Source organism: Homo sapiens, chromosome 3 (assembly GCF_000001405.40).
Source record: "Homo sapiens chromosome 3, GRCh38.p14 Primary Assembly".
NCBI lineage: Eukaryota > Metazoa > Chordata > Mammalia > Primates > Hominidae > Homo > Homo sapiens.
In genome coordinates, this window is record NC_000003.12 from 196,706,277 (window position 1) to 196,726,690 (window position 20,414).

General features: G+C 41.3%; 2 protein-coding genes and 1 pseudogene across 6 annotated transcripts in view, besides 3 other annotated features; 1 reads left to right on the top strand and 2 right to left on the bottom strand.

Annotated features, from left to right (window-relative positions):
* On the bottom strand, positions 1-5,974 carry CEP19 (centrosomal protein 19). 4 transcript variants are annotated; one of them, NM_001379470.1, is made up of 3 exons: positions 5,914-5,974; positions 2,252-2,451; positions 1-1,636 (listed from the first exon to the last, which is right to left on the bottom strand). In NM_001379470.1, exons 2-3 carry the CDS (start codon positions 2,379-2,381, stop codon positions 1,275-1,277), a joined length of 492 nt encoding a protein of 163 aa, NP_001366399.1. In that variant the 5' UTR covers positions 2,382-2,451; positions 5,914-5,974; the 3' UTR covers positions 1-1,274. The 4 variants fall into 4 exon arrangements, with proteins under 4 accessions (NP_001366399.1, NP_001366398.1, NP_116287.3 ...); NM_001379469.1 differs by having other exon boundaries at positions 2,252-2,448; positions 5,653-5,974; NM_032898.5 differs by having other exon boundaries at positions 5,653-5,974.
* RNU6-646P (RNA, U6 small nuclear 646, pseudogene) lies at positions 2,583-2,688 on the bottom strand (annotated as a pseudogene).
* Positions 5,724-6,036: a silencer, noted in NCBI's record as "fragment chr3:196438871-196439183 (GRCh37/hg19 assembly coordinates)". NCBI's record gives its function as "represses an EF-1alpha promoter that drives an FKBP-Casp9 reporter gene in an ReSE screen in K562 erythroleukemia cells {active_cell/tissue: K562}" and the evidence as "EXISTENCE:reporter gene assay evidence [ECO:0000049][PMID:32094911]".
* Positions 5,724-6,500: a biological region, named in NCBI's record as "ReSE screen-validated silencer GRCh37_chr3:196438871-196439183".
* Positions 5,871-6,500: a silencer, noted in NCBI's record as "silent region_15071". NCBI's record gives its function as "represses an Ori minimal core promoter by ATAC-STARR-seq in GM12878 lymphoblastoid cells {active_cell/tissue: GM12878}" and the evidence as "EXISTENCE:reporter gene assay evidence [ECO:0000049][PMID:35858748]".
* The window catches only part of PIGX (phosphatidylinositol glycan anchor biosynthesis class X), a 23,631-nt gene continuing 9,317 nt past the window's right edge, over positions 6,101-20,414 (top strand). For both annotated transcript variants that reach the window (NM_001166304.2, NM_017861.4), the window contains exons 1-3: positions 6,101-6,368; positions 10,582-10,645; positions 16,139-16,280. In NM_001166304.2, coding sequence (NP_001159776.1) covers positions 6,257-6,368; positions 10,582-10,645; positions 16,139-16,280 — 318 coding nt within the window. In that variant the 5' untranslated portion in view covers positions 6,101-6,256. The remainder of the gene's footprint in view (positions 6,369-10,581; positions 10,646-16,138; positions 16,281-20,414) is intronic.

A 20,414-nucleotide genomic window follows, 5' to 3' on the forward strand; every position in this document is an offset into this window, starting at 1 on the left:
TAATTATTTTCAGTTTTATTTAATAAACATCAATTTCCTTGTAGAAAACATAGAATTTCTACCAACTAAACAATATTGTAATAAGGATAAATGTATCAAATCACAGATAATGTTGTTAAACGAAGATGCTGTCTTGCAGATCCATTCATGAACAGGCCTAAACTGGCAGTGCCTATTGTTCATTTATTATGGGTGGATTTCCCATTTTACAAACAAACCTTTTATTTATGGGAAGAGGTTCAGCGTTTCGCAATGTCTTTAGTATGTATTTCCCGATACCGGAGGGGCAGAATTCCCCCTCTGTCCATCAAGTGACATCTGCTTGCAGCTGTAGGGAATTTTGCAGGGTACTCTTTTCCAGAGATAAATAATATAAAGATATAACACATAAGAGGTAATTCCCTGGTAACCATATATGTCCCCCAATCTTGTCTTGTCAAACTATAATTTGCTTATGGTTCCTCAAAAAAAAAATTGTTTCTTGTCCCTTTACTACTTCCCCTCTCCTTCTTTTCAGTTGCTCTTATCAGGAATCCTACACAAGCATCTACCTAAACACTACTATTTCAAGGGCCAGGCCACCTCCTATCTCTTTACTAAAGGACAAAGTCTTCCCTTACTATTCTACTCTACAGTAATATATGCTCTGGCCTTCTTTAGCCTTTATCATGCATTTGGCACTAATGTTTGTGTTGCTTAATACTGCTAATTAGCTTTTCACAGGTTTTGACATCTTCCAGTCAGATTGTAAGCTTTTTTTTTTTTTTTTTTTTGAGATGGAGTTTTGCTCATCGCCCAGGCTGGAGTACAATGGCGCGATCTCGGCTCACTGCAACCTCAGCCTCCCAGGTTCAAGCGAATCTCCTGCCTCAGCCTCCTGAGTAGCCGGGATTACAGGCACCCGCCACCACGCCTGGCTAATTTTTGTATTTTTAGTAGAGGCGAGGTTTCACCATGTTGGCTAGGCTGGTCTCGAACTCCTGACCTTAGGTGATCCACCCGCCTCAGCCTCCCAAAGTGCTGGGATTACAGGCGTGAGCCACCGCACCCGGCATGATTGTAAGCTCCTTAAAGGCAGATTCCTTTATTCTGTTTTTCCCATACTCCTCATGCACCTACATAGTAGATGCTTTAAATGTCCTGGTTTTGAAAAGTAACATGGTCAATCCCCTATAACCCAACATATTTAGTATTCTTTACAGCTTCTTCCAGAACCAGTCTGGTAATAAACATGGATATTCTGCTAGCCCAATGCATGTTTTGAGTGTTTGGTATCAGAACTCATCAGCTGACTCTGTGTCCCAGCCACAGGACTGCAGTTGATCGTCCTGTGGAAATTCAACCTCAATGTCATAAACAAAATTTGGATCATCCTTCTTCTTCTGATTTTTCTCAAAAAGTTCATCCATGATGCTCTTTCTTTTGGCAAGCTCCTTGTCATCTAGTTTGTTCAGGTCTTCCTCAGGATCAATGGTTGTTTCCCGTTGAATTTGTTCCATTGTTTCTGCCAGACTCTGCCCCGACAAGTAACCTCGTAAAAAACTGAATAGCTTCTCTAGCTGCCTCAGGGATACTTGTTCTAGGTAACTCTTGTGTCGCGGATTATTCTTTAATTGTTCAGCAGCTCTGGTGCAATCTGGGAGAGAGAAGAAAACTATATACCACATACGTACCACGTACATCATATACGCCATAAACTACTGCAACAGCCAAAACAGAACAAAAACTCTGAACCCTGAAAATATTATCTCCATTATAGTCAAGTAGCTAAATGGCTTGATTGGAATGAATTACTTTGTAGAACCATTCCTTTATATTGAGCTTTCAGTGTGGTGGGAGAAGGACAGATACAGTTTTGACTTCTTTAACTTAAAAATCACTTTGTAGAGATATTAAACACTTTCAACTGGAGAATATGTCTGAGAAGAAAAGTGATATTATAGCTTTTAGATAGCAGTAGTGGTATTAATAAAATATTAAGACTACAAATAAAAAACATTTGGAATGAGAGAAGGGAATTAATATTATTGAATAATGCTATATCATTTAACCTAGGCAGCAATCCCAAAAGGATTATTAATTATCAGATTGGAAAAAAACACTACAATTCCCTTTTATAGATTAGGAAACTGAAGCTCACTGAGAGTAAGTAATTCATCCAGTGTCACACATCCAGTCCCTGACAGAGTCATGATGTGAACCTGTATTTAGAGAATATTTAAGACAGGAGGCAAGATAAGACATGAGGTACCTGAAAACTTTGAAAAGTTTCGAACTGGCATAATGCGCTGGCGAATTTTCCCCTTGATTTCACTCTCATAGATTAAGATAATAGCTGGAGGCTGAAACCTAATCCCACATTTCTTGGCAGTGCACATCATTCCCATGTACATGTCCGGGTAAGTCAGAGGAAATCTGATGAATATGTGTAAGTTGCATAATGACTTCCTGCTAAAGGGAAAAAACAACTAGGTGTTGGATAAATGTCATTCATTCCCCTCGCCCCTTTGCCCCAGAAGATCTGGTTCTAGTCCGGCTCTGGCCACACACGCTCAGCCTGTGAAACTCATTTTTTTTAAAATTAAAATACGGACTGCTTCATGAATTTGTGTGTCATCCTTGCGCAGGGGCCATGCTGATCCTCTCTGTATCATTCCAATTGTGGGGTATGTGCGCGGGAACGACCACAAAGCTCAGTTATTTTGAGAACTGCCCTGAAAGTTCAGCTTGGCCCTGGGTTAGTTTCAACCTGTTGGATCCCTAAGATCTGGTTTTTTCAAGGATATAGACTTGTTCATATGTGAATCTGGGGATGCAATCCAGTTTGAACCTCTTAGTGTACTGCACTCTTACTGAAGATCGAATATGAACCCCTAAGTCAGCCCAATAGCTGACCTATAGGGTCTTTACTATTTATCAATTAAGAAAGGGCATATCGAGCATCCTCGGTATCAAGGTACTATGATAAGGTAAGTTTTTTAACCTTAATCATTTTGTCCTGAGAGGTTCACCAATCCAGAACTGTCTCCTTTGTACTTTCCCAATTATTTTACTAGAGTTTTTTGTCATTATTTATTTAATCATCTATCTTCCCTTCTAGTCAATATGCTCCATGAGGGTGGGGGGCATATTCATTTTCCACCACAATATCTCAGCATAATACCTGGAACGTAGTGGGCATTCCATACATTGTTTAATGCTATGAATTAACATGATGGTCCCTGTACATTTTTGAAAGCATTTACAGTCTAGAAGCCTGATCAAAAAGCAGACCTGCTGCAGAATCAGCTTCTTCATATACACGTCAGTAACGTCTGCAGCTACATCATATACATCACATATCTCAGCTTCTTCATATACAATAGTCAGTAATGTCTGCAGGGCTTTTATTTTGGCCTGTGTGTCTCACTATATGATAATTTTCTAGCTACAAGAAACAGCTATTTGTAGATGAATACTTACTATTCTCTCTTCCTTTCCCCACCCTCAGTGCCCAAAGAATACACTTAACCCTAAGCACTGCTTTTGATGTGACTGTGACATTCCCAGAAAGATTTGTAAATGTCAAGAAACATTGAGGTAAAGTGGCATAGGGTGATGATATCTTCGTGAACTCAGTTCTGCTGGAGAATCACTATTAGGAACATACTTTTTATTAAATACTTAGCAGTGATTATACACGTCATTGTAGAATACTGGGGGCAAAGGAGAGGGGAAACCTATAGAAAATAATCACCCTTGATTGTGTCCAGTCTTTTTTCTAGGCATATAGTTTATAGTATGTTTCATACATACCTTATCATACAAGCTATTTCCTGACGTTCAAATTTAACAACATATATTATTATTTTGTCATCAAATGTTTTACTACAATGTAACATTTTATATGACTGCTAAATGTTTTATTTTATGGATGTACTATAATCATATTATTCACCACTTATTGTTGGGCATGAGAATTTTTACTCTTAGAAAATTAATCACATATAAGCCCAGGCACAGTGGCTCACCCCAGCCAGCACTTTGGGAGGTCAAGGTGGGCAGATCATTTGAGGTCAGGAGTTCGAGACCAGCCTGGCCAACATGGTGAAAACCACGTCTGTACTAAAAATACAAAAATTAGCTGGACATAGTGGCAGGTGCCTGTAATCCCAGCTACTCGAGAGGCCAAGGCAGGAGAATCACTTGAACCTGGGAGGCGGAGGTTGCAGTGAGCTGAGATGGTACCACTGCACTCCAGCATGGGTGACAAGAGCAAGACTCCATCTCAAAAAGATGGAGGCAGGTGTGGTGGCTCAGGCCTGTAATCCCAACACTTTGGGAGGCCAAGGAGAGGAGATACCTTGAGGCCAGGAGTTTGAGACCAGCCTGGGCAACACAGCGAGACCATGCATGTCTCTACAAAAAATTTAAAAATTGGCCAGGCATGGCAGCATGCACCTGTAGTCCCAGCCACACCAAAGGCCAAGGTGGGAGAATCGCCTGAACCCAGGAGTTTGGGGCTGCAGTGAGTTGAGATGGTGCCACTGCACAACAGCCTCTCCAAAGCATGATACGCCTATTCTTAAAAAAAAAAAAAAAAAAAAAAAAAACTACTTTAAAAAATTACTGTGCTCTACCTCTAATCTGATGCAATGAGCTCACACCATTTCTCCTTCTTTTCCTTCTCTTTTCTTGCTTTTTTTTTTTTTTTAACGAATACTATTCCCAATTCACCTAACTAAAATTTGATGTTAGTAAACTACAACCTACGGGGCACATATAAACTCCACACACTGAAGCAATGGCTGTACTCGTCAAAGATGTATGCAGTTGGTACTCAAATAATGTAGTTTTTTTTTTACTAGACTCTTTTTAAAATTTAACTTTAATTTTTGCTAAAGTAATGTTTGTATTTGGAATATAAAATAATTCTATGAGGCTTATAACAACAAACTATCGTCCTTGGCCCTACTCCTCTTCATAGGGAGCCAGACTGAATTTTAAAAGGCATATCTTCCAAAATTTCTCTCTCCATTTCTTAAGAAACATGCTTATACTACCATTTTCAGTTTTTTTTTTTCTTTTGAAACAGAGTCTCCCTCTGTCGCCTAGGCTGCAGTGCAGTGGCGTGATCTCCCCTCGCTGCAACCTCCGCCTCCTGGGTTCAAGCGATTCTCGTGCCTCAGCCTCCCGAGTAGCTGGAATTACAGGTGCCTACCACCATGCCCAGCTAATCTTTGTATTTTCAGTAGAGACGGGGTTTCGCCATCTTGGCCAGGCTGGTCTCGAACTCCTGACCTCAGGTGATTCGCCCAAAGTGCTGGGGCTATAGGCGTGAGCCACCTGCCCGGCTATTTTCAGTTTTGGATAGTATGTTTTGACATACACTCTGTTTCCTCTTTGAGACACCCGCTCTAGAGCCCTCTATTCCACTCCAAGCCGCCTGGATGCTCTCTTGGCCTGCTTACAGATTCCACTCTGTTTAGGAAGAAGGACGGCACGTTTATCCAATTATTCTTCCTGGACACGAATACTCCTCTCCCCAGAGATCAGTAACTGCCCACAATCTTGTTAGGAAGCCCCACAGCACCTAAGGGTACGAATGTCCCCAAAGAGTAGACGATTCTCTCCCTACTCACGTCTCCACTAGTGCAAGGCTGGCTTTCTTACCCTTAGAGGAATACAGAAATGACATCGTCTGCAGGCCAACGTCTAAACAACCAGGAGTGGGTTTTTCCACCCAACCGCAGTGCACGCAAAGCCCCTAAGCCGACTGTGAGACCGGGCGGAGCCTGGCGCTGCAGGAAGAGGCGACAGCCACAGCCCTACTGACGAGCCCGAGGGGTGAACTCCCCGGCGGGAGGCCCGAACCCTCAAACACCGGGAAGCGGAGGTGGGGGCCGGCTGGGGGACCGGTCCACCGGCTCCCACCTCGGCGTACAGGGATTCCAGGTCCCGGCGAGCGCTGGCCTAGCGGTTTCCACAGCGACAGGCCGGGCGCGCGTCCCCGCGCGTGCGCAGCTCCTCGCCCGCCCCCGGGTGGGCGGAGCAAGGAACAGCTGGGCGGGGACGACCGCCCCACGCCGCGCGGGAACCCTTGGGGGCCGGGGCTGCAGGCAGCTGGGAACCGCGGGCGCTAGGCGCGCGCACCCAGCACTCGGTCCCAGCCGATAAATCTGGGGCAGCGCGCGGTAGGAGCTGCGGGCGGCCAGGCCCCTTCCTGCGTCCGCACCTGGCCCCGCGCGCCCCTCTCGGGCGTCCGGCTTCCGGCGTCCTGGCGGCTCGGGTGGCGGCGGTTCGGGCGGCCGCCTGGCTGCTCCTCGGGGCGGCGACCGGGCTCACGCGCGGGCCCGCCGCGGCCTTCACCGCCGCGCGCTCTGACGCCGGTAAGGGGGGCGGGGCTTGGGGGGCCAGAGCGTGGGAGCGGTCCCGGCTCCCGGGCCTCTCGGCGGGTTGCGGGGATGTGGGGACCCGGCGCGGGACCTAGATCAGTAGGGCGAGCCGGAGGAGGTCAGACACTAGAGCCGTGTGCCCTCCTTCCCTCCCGTGCGCTTTGCTCTGCGGCGGATCCCGGGTCTCCGGGAGAGTCGGGCTCGGGCCCTGCGGTTCCCAGGCTGGACTGGCCGCCCTGTTACTAAAGTTCTGAGAAGGAAAGTCAGCCGTCAAGCGTCTTGGGATGCTCTTGAGCTGCACGAAGCTTCTGATCACCAAGGGGCCAGGCAAGGCCTTAGCGCCCTGTGAGGCCTGAGAATCCCCAAACTGAATGTAGGACTCCGTGGCAAACTGCTAGTTGTTCGTGCAAGTAGTAGTTGGCAAACTGCTTGTACTACTGAGACGGGCAAGTGCGGGAATAATTACAATAAAGGGTAAGGTTTGATGGGAGGAAAGCACAAACCCTACAAGTTTCTCCATCTGTAAAATGAGGATGTTTCTGTCATCCTTGGTATCATTTAGATCCGTTTAGTATCTGTCAATCAGTGCAGTTCTGCTTGTGTGTTTACATATTGGGTTTTCAAGTTTATCTAAACAAAGGATTATGAGGCCAAGAAGATTTTTTTTTTGAGATGGAGTCTCACTCTGTTGCCAGGCTGGAGTGCAATGGCGCGATCTCGGCTCACTGCAACCTCCGCCTTTCCCAAGTTCAAGCAATTCTTCTGCTTCAGCCTCCCAAGTAGCTGGGATTATTACAGGTGCCCGCCACCATGCCCAGCTAATTTTTTGTATTTTTAGTAGAGACGGGGTTTCGCCGTATTGGTCAAGCTGGTCTTGAACTCCTGACCTCAGGTGGTCCACCCTCCTCAGCCTCCCAAAGTGCCAGGATTACAGGTGTGAACTACCATGCTCGGCCAGAAGAATTTTTAAACAGTTGGATTTGGTAATCTGTAGAGGCTTCCAACGTTAGCATTTTATAATTGAAAAGGGGTCAAAATTAGCGGGGCGTGATGGCGTGCCCCTGTAGTCCCAGCTACTCAGGGGGCTAAGGCAGGAGAATCGCTTGAACTAGGGAGGCGGAGGTTGCAGTGAGCCGAGATCGCGCCATTGCACTCCAGCCTGGGTGACAGAGGGAGACTCTGTCTCAAAAAAAAAAAAAAAAAGGAAAAAGAAGTCAATTTCCAGAGCCAGTTCACCACTACCAAAGTAATAGTTAAGAGGAAAAATGTTGAAGGTAAATTCACATTCAACAAATTCGTTTTAAAAATGGTACTTTTGCCTTTAAAATCATGACATTCTAGTATTTGCTGTACTATTTGTAAATTAGCCTTTCTCCGGTCCCAATGATCAACTGCTGTCTGGTGTACATACCAGTAGAATTTAAGCCTGTTCATAATTTTTCTTCTAATTTAATTTATAGTTGGATAGCAGTCCTCACTTCCCACCCTACCCCCATTAAAATTAAACAGGATGAAGAAAGATCTGGATTTGTGCTGGGCACAGTGGCTCACACCTGAAATTCTAACACATTGGGAGGCTGAGGTGGAAGGATTGCTTGAGGCCAAGAGTTCAAGACCAGCCTGGAAAACATAGCAAGACCCTGTCTCTGCAAAAAAATTTAAAAGTAGCCAGGTGTGGTGGCGTGGGCCTATAATCCTAGCTACTTGGGAGGCCGATGTGGGAGGATTGCTTGAGCTCAGAAGTTCAAGGCTGCAGTGAGCTGTGATCATGCCACTGCATTCCAGCTTGTGTGACAGAGTAAGGCCCTGTCTCTTTTTTTTTTTTTTTTTTTGAGACGGAGTCTTGCTCTCTTGCCAGGCTAGTGCAGTGGCGCAATCTCGGCTTATTGCAACCTTCACCTCCCAGGTTCAAGCGATTCTCCTGCCTCAGCCTCCCAAGTAGCGGGAACTACAGGTGCACACCACGACGCCCGGCTAATTTTTTGTATTTTAGTAAAGACGGGGTTTCACCATGTTGGCCAGGTTGGTCTTAAACTGTTGACCTTGTGATCTGCCTGCCTCCCCCTCCCAAAGTGCTGGGATTACAGGCATGAGTCACTGCACCCAGGCTATTTGTTCTTTTTTTTAAGAGGCAGAGCCTTGCTCGGCTGGGCGCTGTGGCCCATGCCTGTAATCCCAGCATTTTGGAAGGCCAGGGTGGGCAGATCACCAGGTCAGGAGATCGAGACCAGCCTGGCCAACGTGGTGAAACTCCATCTCTACTAAAAATACAAGAATTAGCCGGGCGTAGTGGCGCGTGCCTGTAGTCCCAGCTACTCTGGAGGCTGAGGCAGGAGAATTGCTTGAACCTGGGAGGCAGAGGTTGCAGTGAGCCAAGATCGTGCAACTGCAGTGCAGCCTGGCAACAGAGTGAGACTCCGTCTCAAAAAATAAATAAATAAATAAATAAAAATAAAAAAAGAACAAATAAAAATCTGGATTGGTACAAGATACATATGGAATTTGGGGATTTGTTTATTCAGGAAAAGATCATATGCTTCTCCAAAGCAAATACAATTTCTTTTTTGAGGGCTGGAGATTTTTCAGTGAAATGTAACTAGACAAATTCTCGAAGAGCTGTAACACTAAAATTTCATTCAATTTTAGTGTTGAAAGTGGAAGTATCTTAGGCTTTAAAAATCAGGCAAACCTTTCTTCTAATCGGTCACGTAGTTAGTTGTATGACCCAGGGCCATTTACTAATGCTTTAGAAGTTCAAGTTTCCTCCTGCAAACAAATGGCAGTGATTTTGCTTATTTTGCTATAGATCGTGAAAGTTAAAACACATATGAAAGCACCAAGTAGAGGATCTAGCATGTTAGATATTATTTAACCAGTTATTTTTTTCTATTCTTTTTTCATTCCTTCAAATAGTTTCACCTTCACATCATTTTTCTTAATGCATCTTTTCAGAAATACATCTAATGGATTCAGCAATATTCAATGATAATAACAGGATTATGTAAATAATATATAGTTTTCTGTATGTGTTTGGGGTTTGTTTGTTTGTTTTGAGACAAGGTCTGGCTTTGTCACCCAGGCTGGAGTGCAGTGGTGCAGTCTCTGCTCACTGCAGCCTCCCTCTGCCTCCTGGCCTCAAGCCATGCTCCCACCTCAGCCTCCTAAGTAGCTAATTTTTGTATTTTTCTTAATGGAGATGGAGTCTTGCTATGTTGTCCAGGCTTGTGTGTGTTTTTTAAATGTTCTTCCCACAGATTTACAGCTTTTGAAATGGGACAAAGTTCCATAGCAAATGCCTGGCAGAGTTGCTGGTCAATAGTAACTGAATTTTCAGTTTTAAGATGCTTACATTGAGTAATAGTTTTCTTTTTTTGTGTTTAGAGACAAGGTCTCTCTCTGTCACCCAGGCTTGAGTGCAGTGGTATAATCATAGCTCACTGAAGCCCCCATCCCCTGGGTTCAAGCAATCCTCCCACCTCAAGTGCGAGCTGGCACACCTGGCTCAGAGTAACAGCTTGAGTGTCTGGAATCTGGATGAAGTCAGTATACTGAGATTTGTGCTTATTCTAAGTTTACAGTGGAACCCGTTGAACCTTTACGTGCCTCCAGCTTTGCTTTTTGTTTTTTTTTTAAACCTTCCAGCATCTCCACAAGGCATAAATGTACCATTTTCCTGGTTTTGTAGGCATGGATGTTAGAATATAGAAGTTGCCAGTATGTATCTATCTGATACACAGTTTCAGTGAACAAGGATTAAAATGGAGATTTCCTGGCTCTTTAGCCATCCTGTTCCTTTTTGGTATCTTGGGATCACCTGAATAAAGTAATATTAATAAAAAACACTTACATAGAACACTTAATATGTATTCTTACTACTGTTCTAAGTGCTTCTACTTACATTAAATTCTTACGACAGCTAGTAGAGAGATAAACTATCTTGCCCAAAGTTAACACAGCTGTTAAGTTACAGACTGGGATTTGAAATCAGGCAATCTAACTCCAGAGTCACTGTTCTTAACCACAGTGCTATATTGGAAGTAGATTTATATATATATTTCAAATTGCTTAAATTTTAAAAGGTTTTGTTTTTAGGTTGGTTAGATTTTCTAGGCAAGTAAAGCCTACTAAAATAACTCTTTTATAATTATTTAAATATTATTTTATTCAGTGCTTTTGTTTTTAAAAAAAAATCGTTTGGTTCTTATAGGCATAAGGGCCATGTGTTCTGAAATTATTTTGAGGCAAGAAGTTTTGAAAGATGGTTTCCACAGGTAAGTTGCCTGTTGATTTCTATTTCTATTAAAATAATGTGTCATATAATTGAGAGCAAAAAATTGATGGTTGAAATTTGTATAAATTGAAAAATCAGGCCAGATGCGGTGGCTCTCATCTGTAATCCCAACACTTTGGGAGGCCGAGGCAGGCGGATCACAAGGTCAGGAGTTTGATACCAGCCTGGCCAACATAGTGAAACGCTGTCTCTACTAAAAATACAAAAATTAGTTGGGCATGATGGTACACACACCTATAGTCCCAGCTACTTCAGAGGCTGAGGCAGGAGAATCACTTGAACCCGGGAGGTGGAGATTGTGGTGAGCCGAGATCATGCCACTGCACTCCAGCCTGGGCAACAGAGTGAGACTCTGTCTCAAAAAAAGAAAAAAGAAAAATCACTTGCTTCCTCAAAGTTACTCAGTGATGGCATATGTGGTTCACACTTTGAAATAATGATTAACTGAGTGGAGCAAAGAAGAAAACAAGTATGTATTGTTTACCACGTACAGTTGTCCCTTGGTATCTGAGGGGATTGGTTCCTCCTGGACCTCCCCTGAGGACACCAAAGTCCTCAGATGCTCAAGTTCCCTATATCAAATGGCATAGTACTTGTATAGAACCTACACACACCCTCTCATATACAGAGGTTGTTATATATATACAACTAGTGCCTATATATACAATATTCCATTTAATCTTCACAGTGGCATGAGATAGATGATTTTTTCTTATTTTTCAGATGAGGGAGGTAGAGCTCAAACAATTTAAATAATTTGGTAGAAATTAGGGTGATAGAGCTCTGACTCTAGCTTAGTACTATTATACTTCAAAGCCATCTCAAGTACTATGATACACTGCTCTAAATCACTATGTCTTACTACAGTTGATTCTAAATGACCAAGCTGTTTCCAAAAAAGAAATTATCTTCAAAAGATGAATATTTGCCCATATTGAAGATCTTTAAAAGTCTGGTAAAAAGGTGTGGAAACTGTTCCTTAAGAAAACTTGCCCAAACTGAAGCTTCGCAAGGTGATTATTTTGAAATGATTCTCAGATACTTAATATGTAAATTCTGATTCATTTATTTTTTTTTAATTTTTTTATGCTGGGCACGGTGGCTCATGCCTGTAATCCCAGCACTTTGGGAGGTCGAGGACCCCGGATCACGAGGTCACGAGTTCGAGACCAGCGTGGCAAACACGGTGAAACCCCATCTCTACTAAAAATACAAAACATTAGCCAGGCGTGGTGGTGGGCGCCTGTAATCCCAGCTACTCAGGAAGCTGAGGCAGTAGAATCGCTTGAACCCGGGAGGCAGAGGTTGCAGTGAGCCGAGATTATGCCACCGCACTTCAGCCTGGCAACAGAGCGAGGCAAAACTCCGTCTGAAGAAAAAAAAAAGGGGGGGAAGGGTATAGTTATTTCACCATGAAGTATATTTGTGTTAGGTTTTTTGTAGATAGCTTTTTATGAGTTGAGGACTTAATCTTAAGTTTCTAGTTTCCTGAGAGTTTTCTTTCATGATTGGGTGTTAAATTTTGTCAGATACCTTTTCTTCCTCTGTTTTGAGAGGATCATACAATTTTTATATTTTATTCTCTTAATATGATGAAGTACATTGATGTTTCCAGTAGTGAACGTACTCCTTGGTCATGCGATATTATCTTCTTGAAATATATCTGGATATGTTTTGCTAATAACTTGCTTAGTATTTTTACTTGTATGTTCATGAAGGCTACTGGCCCATGACTCTGTTGTGATGCCTTATTCTGGTTTCACTGTCTGGGTATTCTTGGCCTTATAAAATAGTTTGGGAAACATTTTCTTCTCTAGTTTCTGCTTGTGTAGCATTGGTATTATTTATTCCTTTAATGTTTAATAGAATTTAACAATGAAGCTCTGTTTTTGTGTGTGTGTGCTACATTTAGGATTGTTCTTGATGCTCTTGATAATTTCTTGATGAATTGGATGAATTGACCCTTTTATCTTTGTGTAATGTCTTTCTTTATGACTGACAATATTCCTTGTCCCGAAGTCACCTTATTCTAATATTAATATAGCCATCCCATATTTATTATTAATATTTGCATATCTTTTTTATCCTTTTACTTTTATCGTCTTTATCTTCAGTGTGTTTCCTGTAGATAGCATATAGTTCAGGGTGGCCAATTTTTTTCTTTCCAAATCCCAAGACCTTGTGAAAGGAGTTGCTGTTTTATCCATCTGTCAGTCTCTGCATTCTAATTGGAGTGATTAGACCGTTTATTTTTAATGTAAATATTAATATGGTTGGTCTGGTTTAAATCTGTCTAGCTACTTTTTTATCTATTTGTTTTTCTCTTTGTTGCATCTAGTCTTCTCCTTCTTTTCTTGCCTTATTTTGGGTAAATTGAGTATTTATTTTTTATTTTTTTATTATTATACTTTAAGTTCTAGGGTACATGTGCACAATGTGCAGGTTTGTTACATATGTATATGTGTGCCATGTTGGTGTGCTGCACCCATTAACTCGTCATTTAGCATTAGGTTAAATTGAGTACTTATTAAGCATTCTATTTTATCTCAATTTTTGGATGATTAGCTATACCTCTCTGTTTTTAATTTGTTGCTTTAGGGTTTACAACCTGCAATCGTTACCTATCACAGTCTACCTTCAAATAATTTTATTCCATGTCACAGATACTGTTTTATCAGGATAGCTTCATCTCCTTCTCTTTTCTATGCTGTTGTTATCACATATTTTACTTTATTTTTTACTTGTGTTATGAACCCCACAATATATTGTTACTGGTTTTTCTTTAAGCAGTCACTTTTCACATTATTTATTTTAATTGTGATAAAATACCCATAACATAAAATTTACAATTTTAACTTTTTTTTTTTTGGTATGGGGTCTCGCTCTGTTGCCAGGCTGGAGTGCATGGCGCGATCTCGGCGCACTGCAACTTCCGATTCCCTGGTTCAAGTGATTCTTCTGCCTCAGCCTCCCGATTACAGGCGCCTGCCACCACACCCAGCTAATTTTCGTATTTTCAGTAGAGATGGGATTTCACCATGTTGGCCAGGCTAGTTTCCATCTCCTGACCTCGTGATCCGCCTGCTTCGGCCTCCCGAAGTGTGGGGATTACAGGCGTGAGCCACCGCGCCCGGCCTAATTTTAACGATTTGTAAGTGTGCAATTCAGTGGCATCAAGTACATTCACGTTATTGTGCTACCATCACCACCATCCATTTATGGAACTCTTCGTTTTGTACAACTGAAACTCCTTGCCTATTGAGCAATAACTACTCATTCCTCCTCCTCCCAGCTCCTGGCAACCAGCATGCTTGTCTCTGTGAATTTGACTCCTCTGGGTACCTCATATAAGTGGAATCATATAATGTTTGTGAAGCTTATTTCACATAGCATGATGTTCTCACAGTTCCTTCATGTTTTAGGGTATGTGAGAATTTCCCTTCTTTTTAAAGCTGAGTAATATTCCATTGTATGTTTGTACCACATTTTGCTTATTTGTTCATTGTTGATGGGCACTTTGGTTGCTCCTGCCTTTTGGCTGTTGCAAATAATGCCGTTGTGAACAGGATTTACGGTTGTCTCTTAAATGCCTGCTTCATATTCCCAGAAGTGGAATTGCTGGATCATGTGATAATTCTATTGTAATTTTTTGAGAAATTGTCATAGAGTTTTCTGTAGTGGCCACATCATTTTACATTCCCACCAGTGATGCTCAAGGGCTCCAATTTGTCTAGCAATCATATTTGAAAGCAATTAAAACATGAGAAAGAAGTCTTTTATATTCCCCCACATACTTATCATTTCTGATCTCTTCTTTCTTATAGATTTATGTTTCTATCTAGTATCATTTACTTTCTGTCATTTCTTGCAGTGACAAATTCTCTTAGTTTGTGTTTGTCTGAATCTTTATTTTGCCTTTATTTTTGAAGGATTTTCCTCCTGGATATAAAATTCTAGATCGACAGCCTCTTTTCTTTTAGTAATTTAAATAAGTTGCTCCATTATCTTCTAGCTTATTCTTATCTTTGTTAATCTCTCCATCATTATTGATAGCTTTTAAGATTGTTTTCCATTGACTGGATAATAATGTGCCTTGATGTGATTTTCTTTGTATTTATCCTGCTTAGGGTTGGTTGGCTTCTTGGATTTGTAGACTTATAATTTTATGAAATTCAGAAAGTGTTCAGCCATTATATCTTCATTTTTTTTCTGTTACATTCTCTTCTCTTTTTTAGGAACTCCAAATATATGTATACTAGACTACTTGATATTGTTTAAAGGCCATGGAGGCGGTTCCTTTTTTCTCCCTGGTCTTTTTTCCTCTCTGTGCTTCAGTGTGGGTAGTTTCTGTTGCTGTGTCTCCAAGTCACTGATCTTTTCTTCTTCAGCATCTAATGGCTTTTAATTACATCTGGGTAAGTTTTTATTTCGGAAATTATATTCTTCATCTCTTAAAGTTGCATTTAGTTTTTTAAAAAATATCTTCTCTCTCTCTCTCTTTTTTTTTTCTTGAGACAGGGTCTTGTCTCTGTCCTCCAAGCTGGAATATAATGGCGCTATCAGAGCTCACTGCAGCCTCGACCTCCTGGGCTCAAAAGATTCTCCTACCACACCCTCCCTTGTAGTTGGGACTATAGGCACACATCACCATGTCTGGCTAATTTTTTTATTTTTTTAGAGACAGGGGTCTCTCCATATTGCTTAGGCTGGTCTCAAACTCCTGGCTTCAAATGATCCTCCTGCATCATTTGAATCCCAGCCTCCCAATGTGCTGGGATTACAGGCATGAGCCACCATCCCCGGCCTATTTTTTCTTTTTTCTTTTTTTTTAGATGGGGATTTGCTCTGTCACCCAGGCTGGAGTACAGGGGCATGATCTTGGTTCATTGCACCCTCCACCTCCCAGGCTCAAAAGATTCTCCTGCCTCAGCCTCCTGAGTAGCTAGACCACAGGCATGTGCCACCATGCCCGGCTAAATTTTGTATTTTTGGTAGAGACTAGGTCTCACTGTGTTACCCAGGCTGGTCTCGAATTCCTGAGCTCAGGCAGTCCACCTGCCTCAGCCTTCCAAAGTGCTAGGATTATAGGCATGAGGCACCATGCCTGCCCTCTGGCCTGTTTTTTTCTGTGTAAATATCCAGTTGTTTCAGTGCCATTTGTTGAAAAGACTATCCTTTCCCCATTAAATTACGTTGGTACCTTTATTGAAAATTGTGTGAATGTTATTGGATTCCATTCCTTTTCATTGATCTTTGTCTATTTTTACAATAATGCTATAGTGGCTTATGACATGAATTATGAAAGATCTAATGGATGATTCTGACATGTTATAAATATTTCATTTGACCTTATAATCTACTTTTGGAAAATGAATTTTGAAATACAGTGTTTTCACTAATAGGAATACAGTGTTATGTTATCTCATTTAACAGTTGAATGAAGAGATTTACTTTCAATGTACTTGTCTTACAGAGACCTTTTAATCAAAGTGAAGTTTGGGGAAAGCATTGAGGACTTGCACACCTGCCGTCTCTTAATTAAACAGGACATTCCTGCAGGACTTTATGTGGATCCGTATGAGTTGGCTTCATTACGAGAGAGAAACATAACAGAGGTACAGTTATTAGGGGATTTTTTGGGAGAGAAATTAATTTAGGGGTGCTGTAGTTTGGATTAAGGAAAAATAGTAGGTTTTCTTTTCATTTTGTTAAAGTGTATAAAGTGACATTTTTAGAGATAGACTGGGCATAGTCTTTGACAAGTGAGTGACTCTTGTCAGGAATAAGCCAACTAAACTGAGCTAGTTAAATGCTTTTTAAGGTGGTTCATAGTTCAGTGACTAAGAAAATTATCTGGGTGTATGTGTATGTCTTGAGAAAATTAATGATTAATAAATAGTGCCTCAACAGTAACTTTGTTAATGAGAATGACATATACCCCAACATCTGGGTAAGTTTGATATGTGAGGAGAAGAAACTAATATTTAATAGATGTCTATATGCCAGATATCTTCATTTTCTTTTAAAAAGAAAGATCGTGTCCTGCACCCTTTACATAAATTAATCTTTATAACAACCCTGGAGGTGGAATCTCCATTTTATATATAGGGAAACTGAGGGCTGGGTGCAGCGTCTTACGCTTGTAATCCCAGCACTTTGGGAGGCCAAGGCAGGCAGATTGCCTGAGCTTGGGAATTCGAAACCAGCCTGGGCAACATGGCGAAACCCTGTTTCTACAAAAATACAAAAATTAGCCAGGTGTGGTGGTGGGCGCCTGTAATCCCAGCTACTTGGGAGGCTGAGGCCGGAGAATCACTTGAACCTGGGAGGCGGAGGTTGCAGTGAGCCGAGATCGCATCATTGCACTCCAGCCTGGGTGACAGAATGAGACTTTGTCTCAAAGAAAAAAGAAACTGAGGCGCAAAGAGGCCAAGTAACTTATCCAAAATCACATAGATAATTGGAAGAGCCAAAAAATGGATCCAAGATTGTCTAGTTGTAATGTTGTTGCCCTTGTTGGACCTGAATCTTACCCCGTAGTTAGAAAAGTTTCCCCAACTTTGGTAAGAATTCCCTGGGGGCACTTTTGTACAGAGTATTGCCTTCCAGGGAAATCCTGATTCAGTAGGCCTAGATTGGGCCCCAAAATCTGGTTTGAAGAACCCAGATGATTTCTTTTTTTTTTTTTTTTTAATTATTGTGGGTACGCAGTAGGTATATGTAACCTAGGTGATTTCTGTTAAGAAATTTTGGGAGACACTGTCTTAGTTGATAAGATTATAATCTACTTACGAATTTTTAAAACTGTAAAATAGATGCATCTATAGTTATTCATGATGGCAGTTTATTTCTAATCGTGGTTTAGGCCAGTTTCTTTATCCATTTATTTTATTTTAATTGTTTTTGAATAAGTAATTACATTCTCATGGGTTCATTGAGTAGATATAAAAAGGTATGCAATGATAACATTCTGCCTGTGTCAACCACTAATCAGCAAGTGTGTTCTCAGTTTTTTGTGTATGTATGACAGTTTACATACACATACAATTATGGAAGGACCTCATTTTTTTTTAATTTAATGTTTTTTTTTTTTTTTTTGAGACAGAGTCTCTGTTGCCTAGGCTGGAGTGCGGTGGCACAATCTTGGCTCACTGAAACCTCTGCCTCCCAGGTTCAAGTTCTCCTGCCTCAGCCTCCCGAGTAGCTAGGATTACAGGTGCATGCCACCATGCCTGGCTAATTTTTGTATTTTTAGTAGAGGTGGGGTTTCACAATGTTGGCCTGGCTGATCTCGAACTCCTGACCTCAGGTTATCTGCCCACCTTGGCCTCCCAAAGTGCTGGGATTACAGGCATGAGCCACCGGCCAGAAGGATCTCATTTCTTTTCTTCAATGAATTATGAATTCTAAATGAGGCTATTCAAATTTAAAATAATAGATTTCAAATTTCAACACAGTTTTTGGCTTGTAAGGATATGGGTTGGAATCATATTTAAATCTACTTAATAAAATCACTTACCGTGTTCTAAGAAAATCAAAGTTTTTTGGATGGGGGTTACCCAAAAATTCATATCTTTGGATGGGGATGAGATTTGGATGTTTGAAGGTTGACTGTTAGAAGAAAAGGGTACAGGTAGAGAGTGCCATTATAGATTGATTAACAAGTTTATCTTGATCTTGATTTTCTGCTTTCTAATCTTCTAATCCATAATTATAAGCCTTGTAAGTGTATTTACTTCTTTATTTTGGAAACTTCTAGAAAAATAGATGTTACATTTGTGACGTTTAAATATATGGAATTTGATGCCTGACATATTCCTTCTGCCTAGTTGAGATTATGGCCCAATTCCTCGTACAGAGAAACTTTGTTATGCTAAGTGTTATTATATAATAAGTGTAACTGGGTAGAAGGAATTTATATGTAGGGACTGATTGATGCTTGTATACCTGGATTAATGTCTTGACTCTGCTCCAGGAAATAAAATTTTTGGCTGCAACAAATGGAACTGTGGGCCCAGATTAAATGAGTGGTGTGCCAGCAAAATGCTTTGTAAGGAGTTTGTGATGGTTTGTGAATAATTTGAAAATAAATGCAAGCCTTAAGTAGGTTCACCAAGGATAAGGCAGATCAAATAAACCTCATTTCACTTTTTTAGGTAGGGTTATTAAACATATTTTTTCATCAGAAGTCTCTTAGATTCTTTGAAAGCAGTATAATATTAGATTGAAACGTATAAAATTGCTGTTTTGTGGGTCAAAATGGAAACAGTTTTTGAAACCATAAGTTTTACTCAAAGTATGTAGTATTAAGGCTTCTGCTTCTGGTCAAGTGGAGAACAGGTAACAAATTTAGTCTCTTACTTGAAACAAGCAAGAAATAGACAAAATATATGAAATAATGAAAAAAGTCATTGAATATCAGGCAATGAAGGGCAGAGATATCCGAGAGAAGGGAAGTAAGTAAGGTGAGCCCTACTGTCATCCAGCTTATTTCCTTGAGAATATTTTCAGGCTTAATGCAGGGAGGAGAAACTCAAGCAGAGCCTAGTGGACTTTTTGAGTTGAGGAGATAAAGTTGAGATGCTGGGCAGGCCAAGGTAACTAGAATTCACGGGACAGTGTACCAGAGGGGAGAGAACGTCATAGAGGCAGAACTGCAGAAATAACAGAAGGTTCCTTTCAAGTATGTAGCTGAGTATTTATCAGTGTGTATATGTTAGGAAACTACCTGATGCCAGGGAAAGAGCCATCTGACAAAATGAGCGGTAACAGTGTCTGGTACTCACACAGGGACAGGAGTAGTACCTCGTCCCAGCAACCAGACTGAGAAAAGCCTTATAATTTCTTGAACAATGGAAAAACAGAGAACTTTTACTCAGTAGCAGGGAATACTTAGCCACAAACTGAACATTGCTTTAGTCCTGCATAACAAATCTTAAAAACAAAACCTTAAAAAAATATCAAACTTTTTCTAAGTAACTTATCTGCATCCCAAACAAAGCTCAAGAATATGTATAGGGATATAGACATATCCAGCAAGATCAAATTAGCAATTTCTTGACTGTAATAATAAATTAGCAGCTAGGCAAGGATGGGGGGAAAAATGACCTATAATGAGGAGGTGAATCAATCAGTTAAAACCAATCCAGAATTGACCCAGATGTTAGAATTAACATCATCTCTACTAAAAATACAAAAAATTAGCCAGGCATGGTGGCGTGTGTCTATAGTCTCAGCTACTTGGGAGGCTGAGGTGGAAGGATTGCTTGAGCCTAGATGGTTGAGACTTCAGTGAGCCATGATCATGCCACTGCACTCCAGCCAGGGTGACAGAGTGAGACCTTGTCTTAAAAAGAGAAAATAAGAGGCTAGGTAAAAAAAAGAATAGGCAGCTCATGCCTATTATCCCAGCTCTTTGGGAGGATGAGGCAGGAGAATCACTTGAGCCCAGGAGTTTGAGGCTGCAGTGCACCCTGATTGTGCCACTGCACTCCAGCCTGGGTGACAGAGTGAGAGTCCGTCTCAAAAAATAAAATAGTAGTACATATAAAGCATAGTGAGATAAGGCTGCCAAAAAACTAATGCAAGTTTTGCCTAAAGAAGGTAATATTGCTCCTGTACTCTATGAGTACTTCAAATGCAGCTAATATGATGAATGATTTGGAAACCATGTCATGAGAACCCAGGAGAACTGTGAACATTTCCCTTGTCAGGAGAAGACTTCATGGCGGCGGCTATGGTTGCCTTCT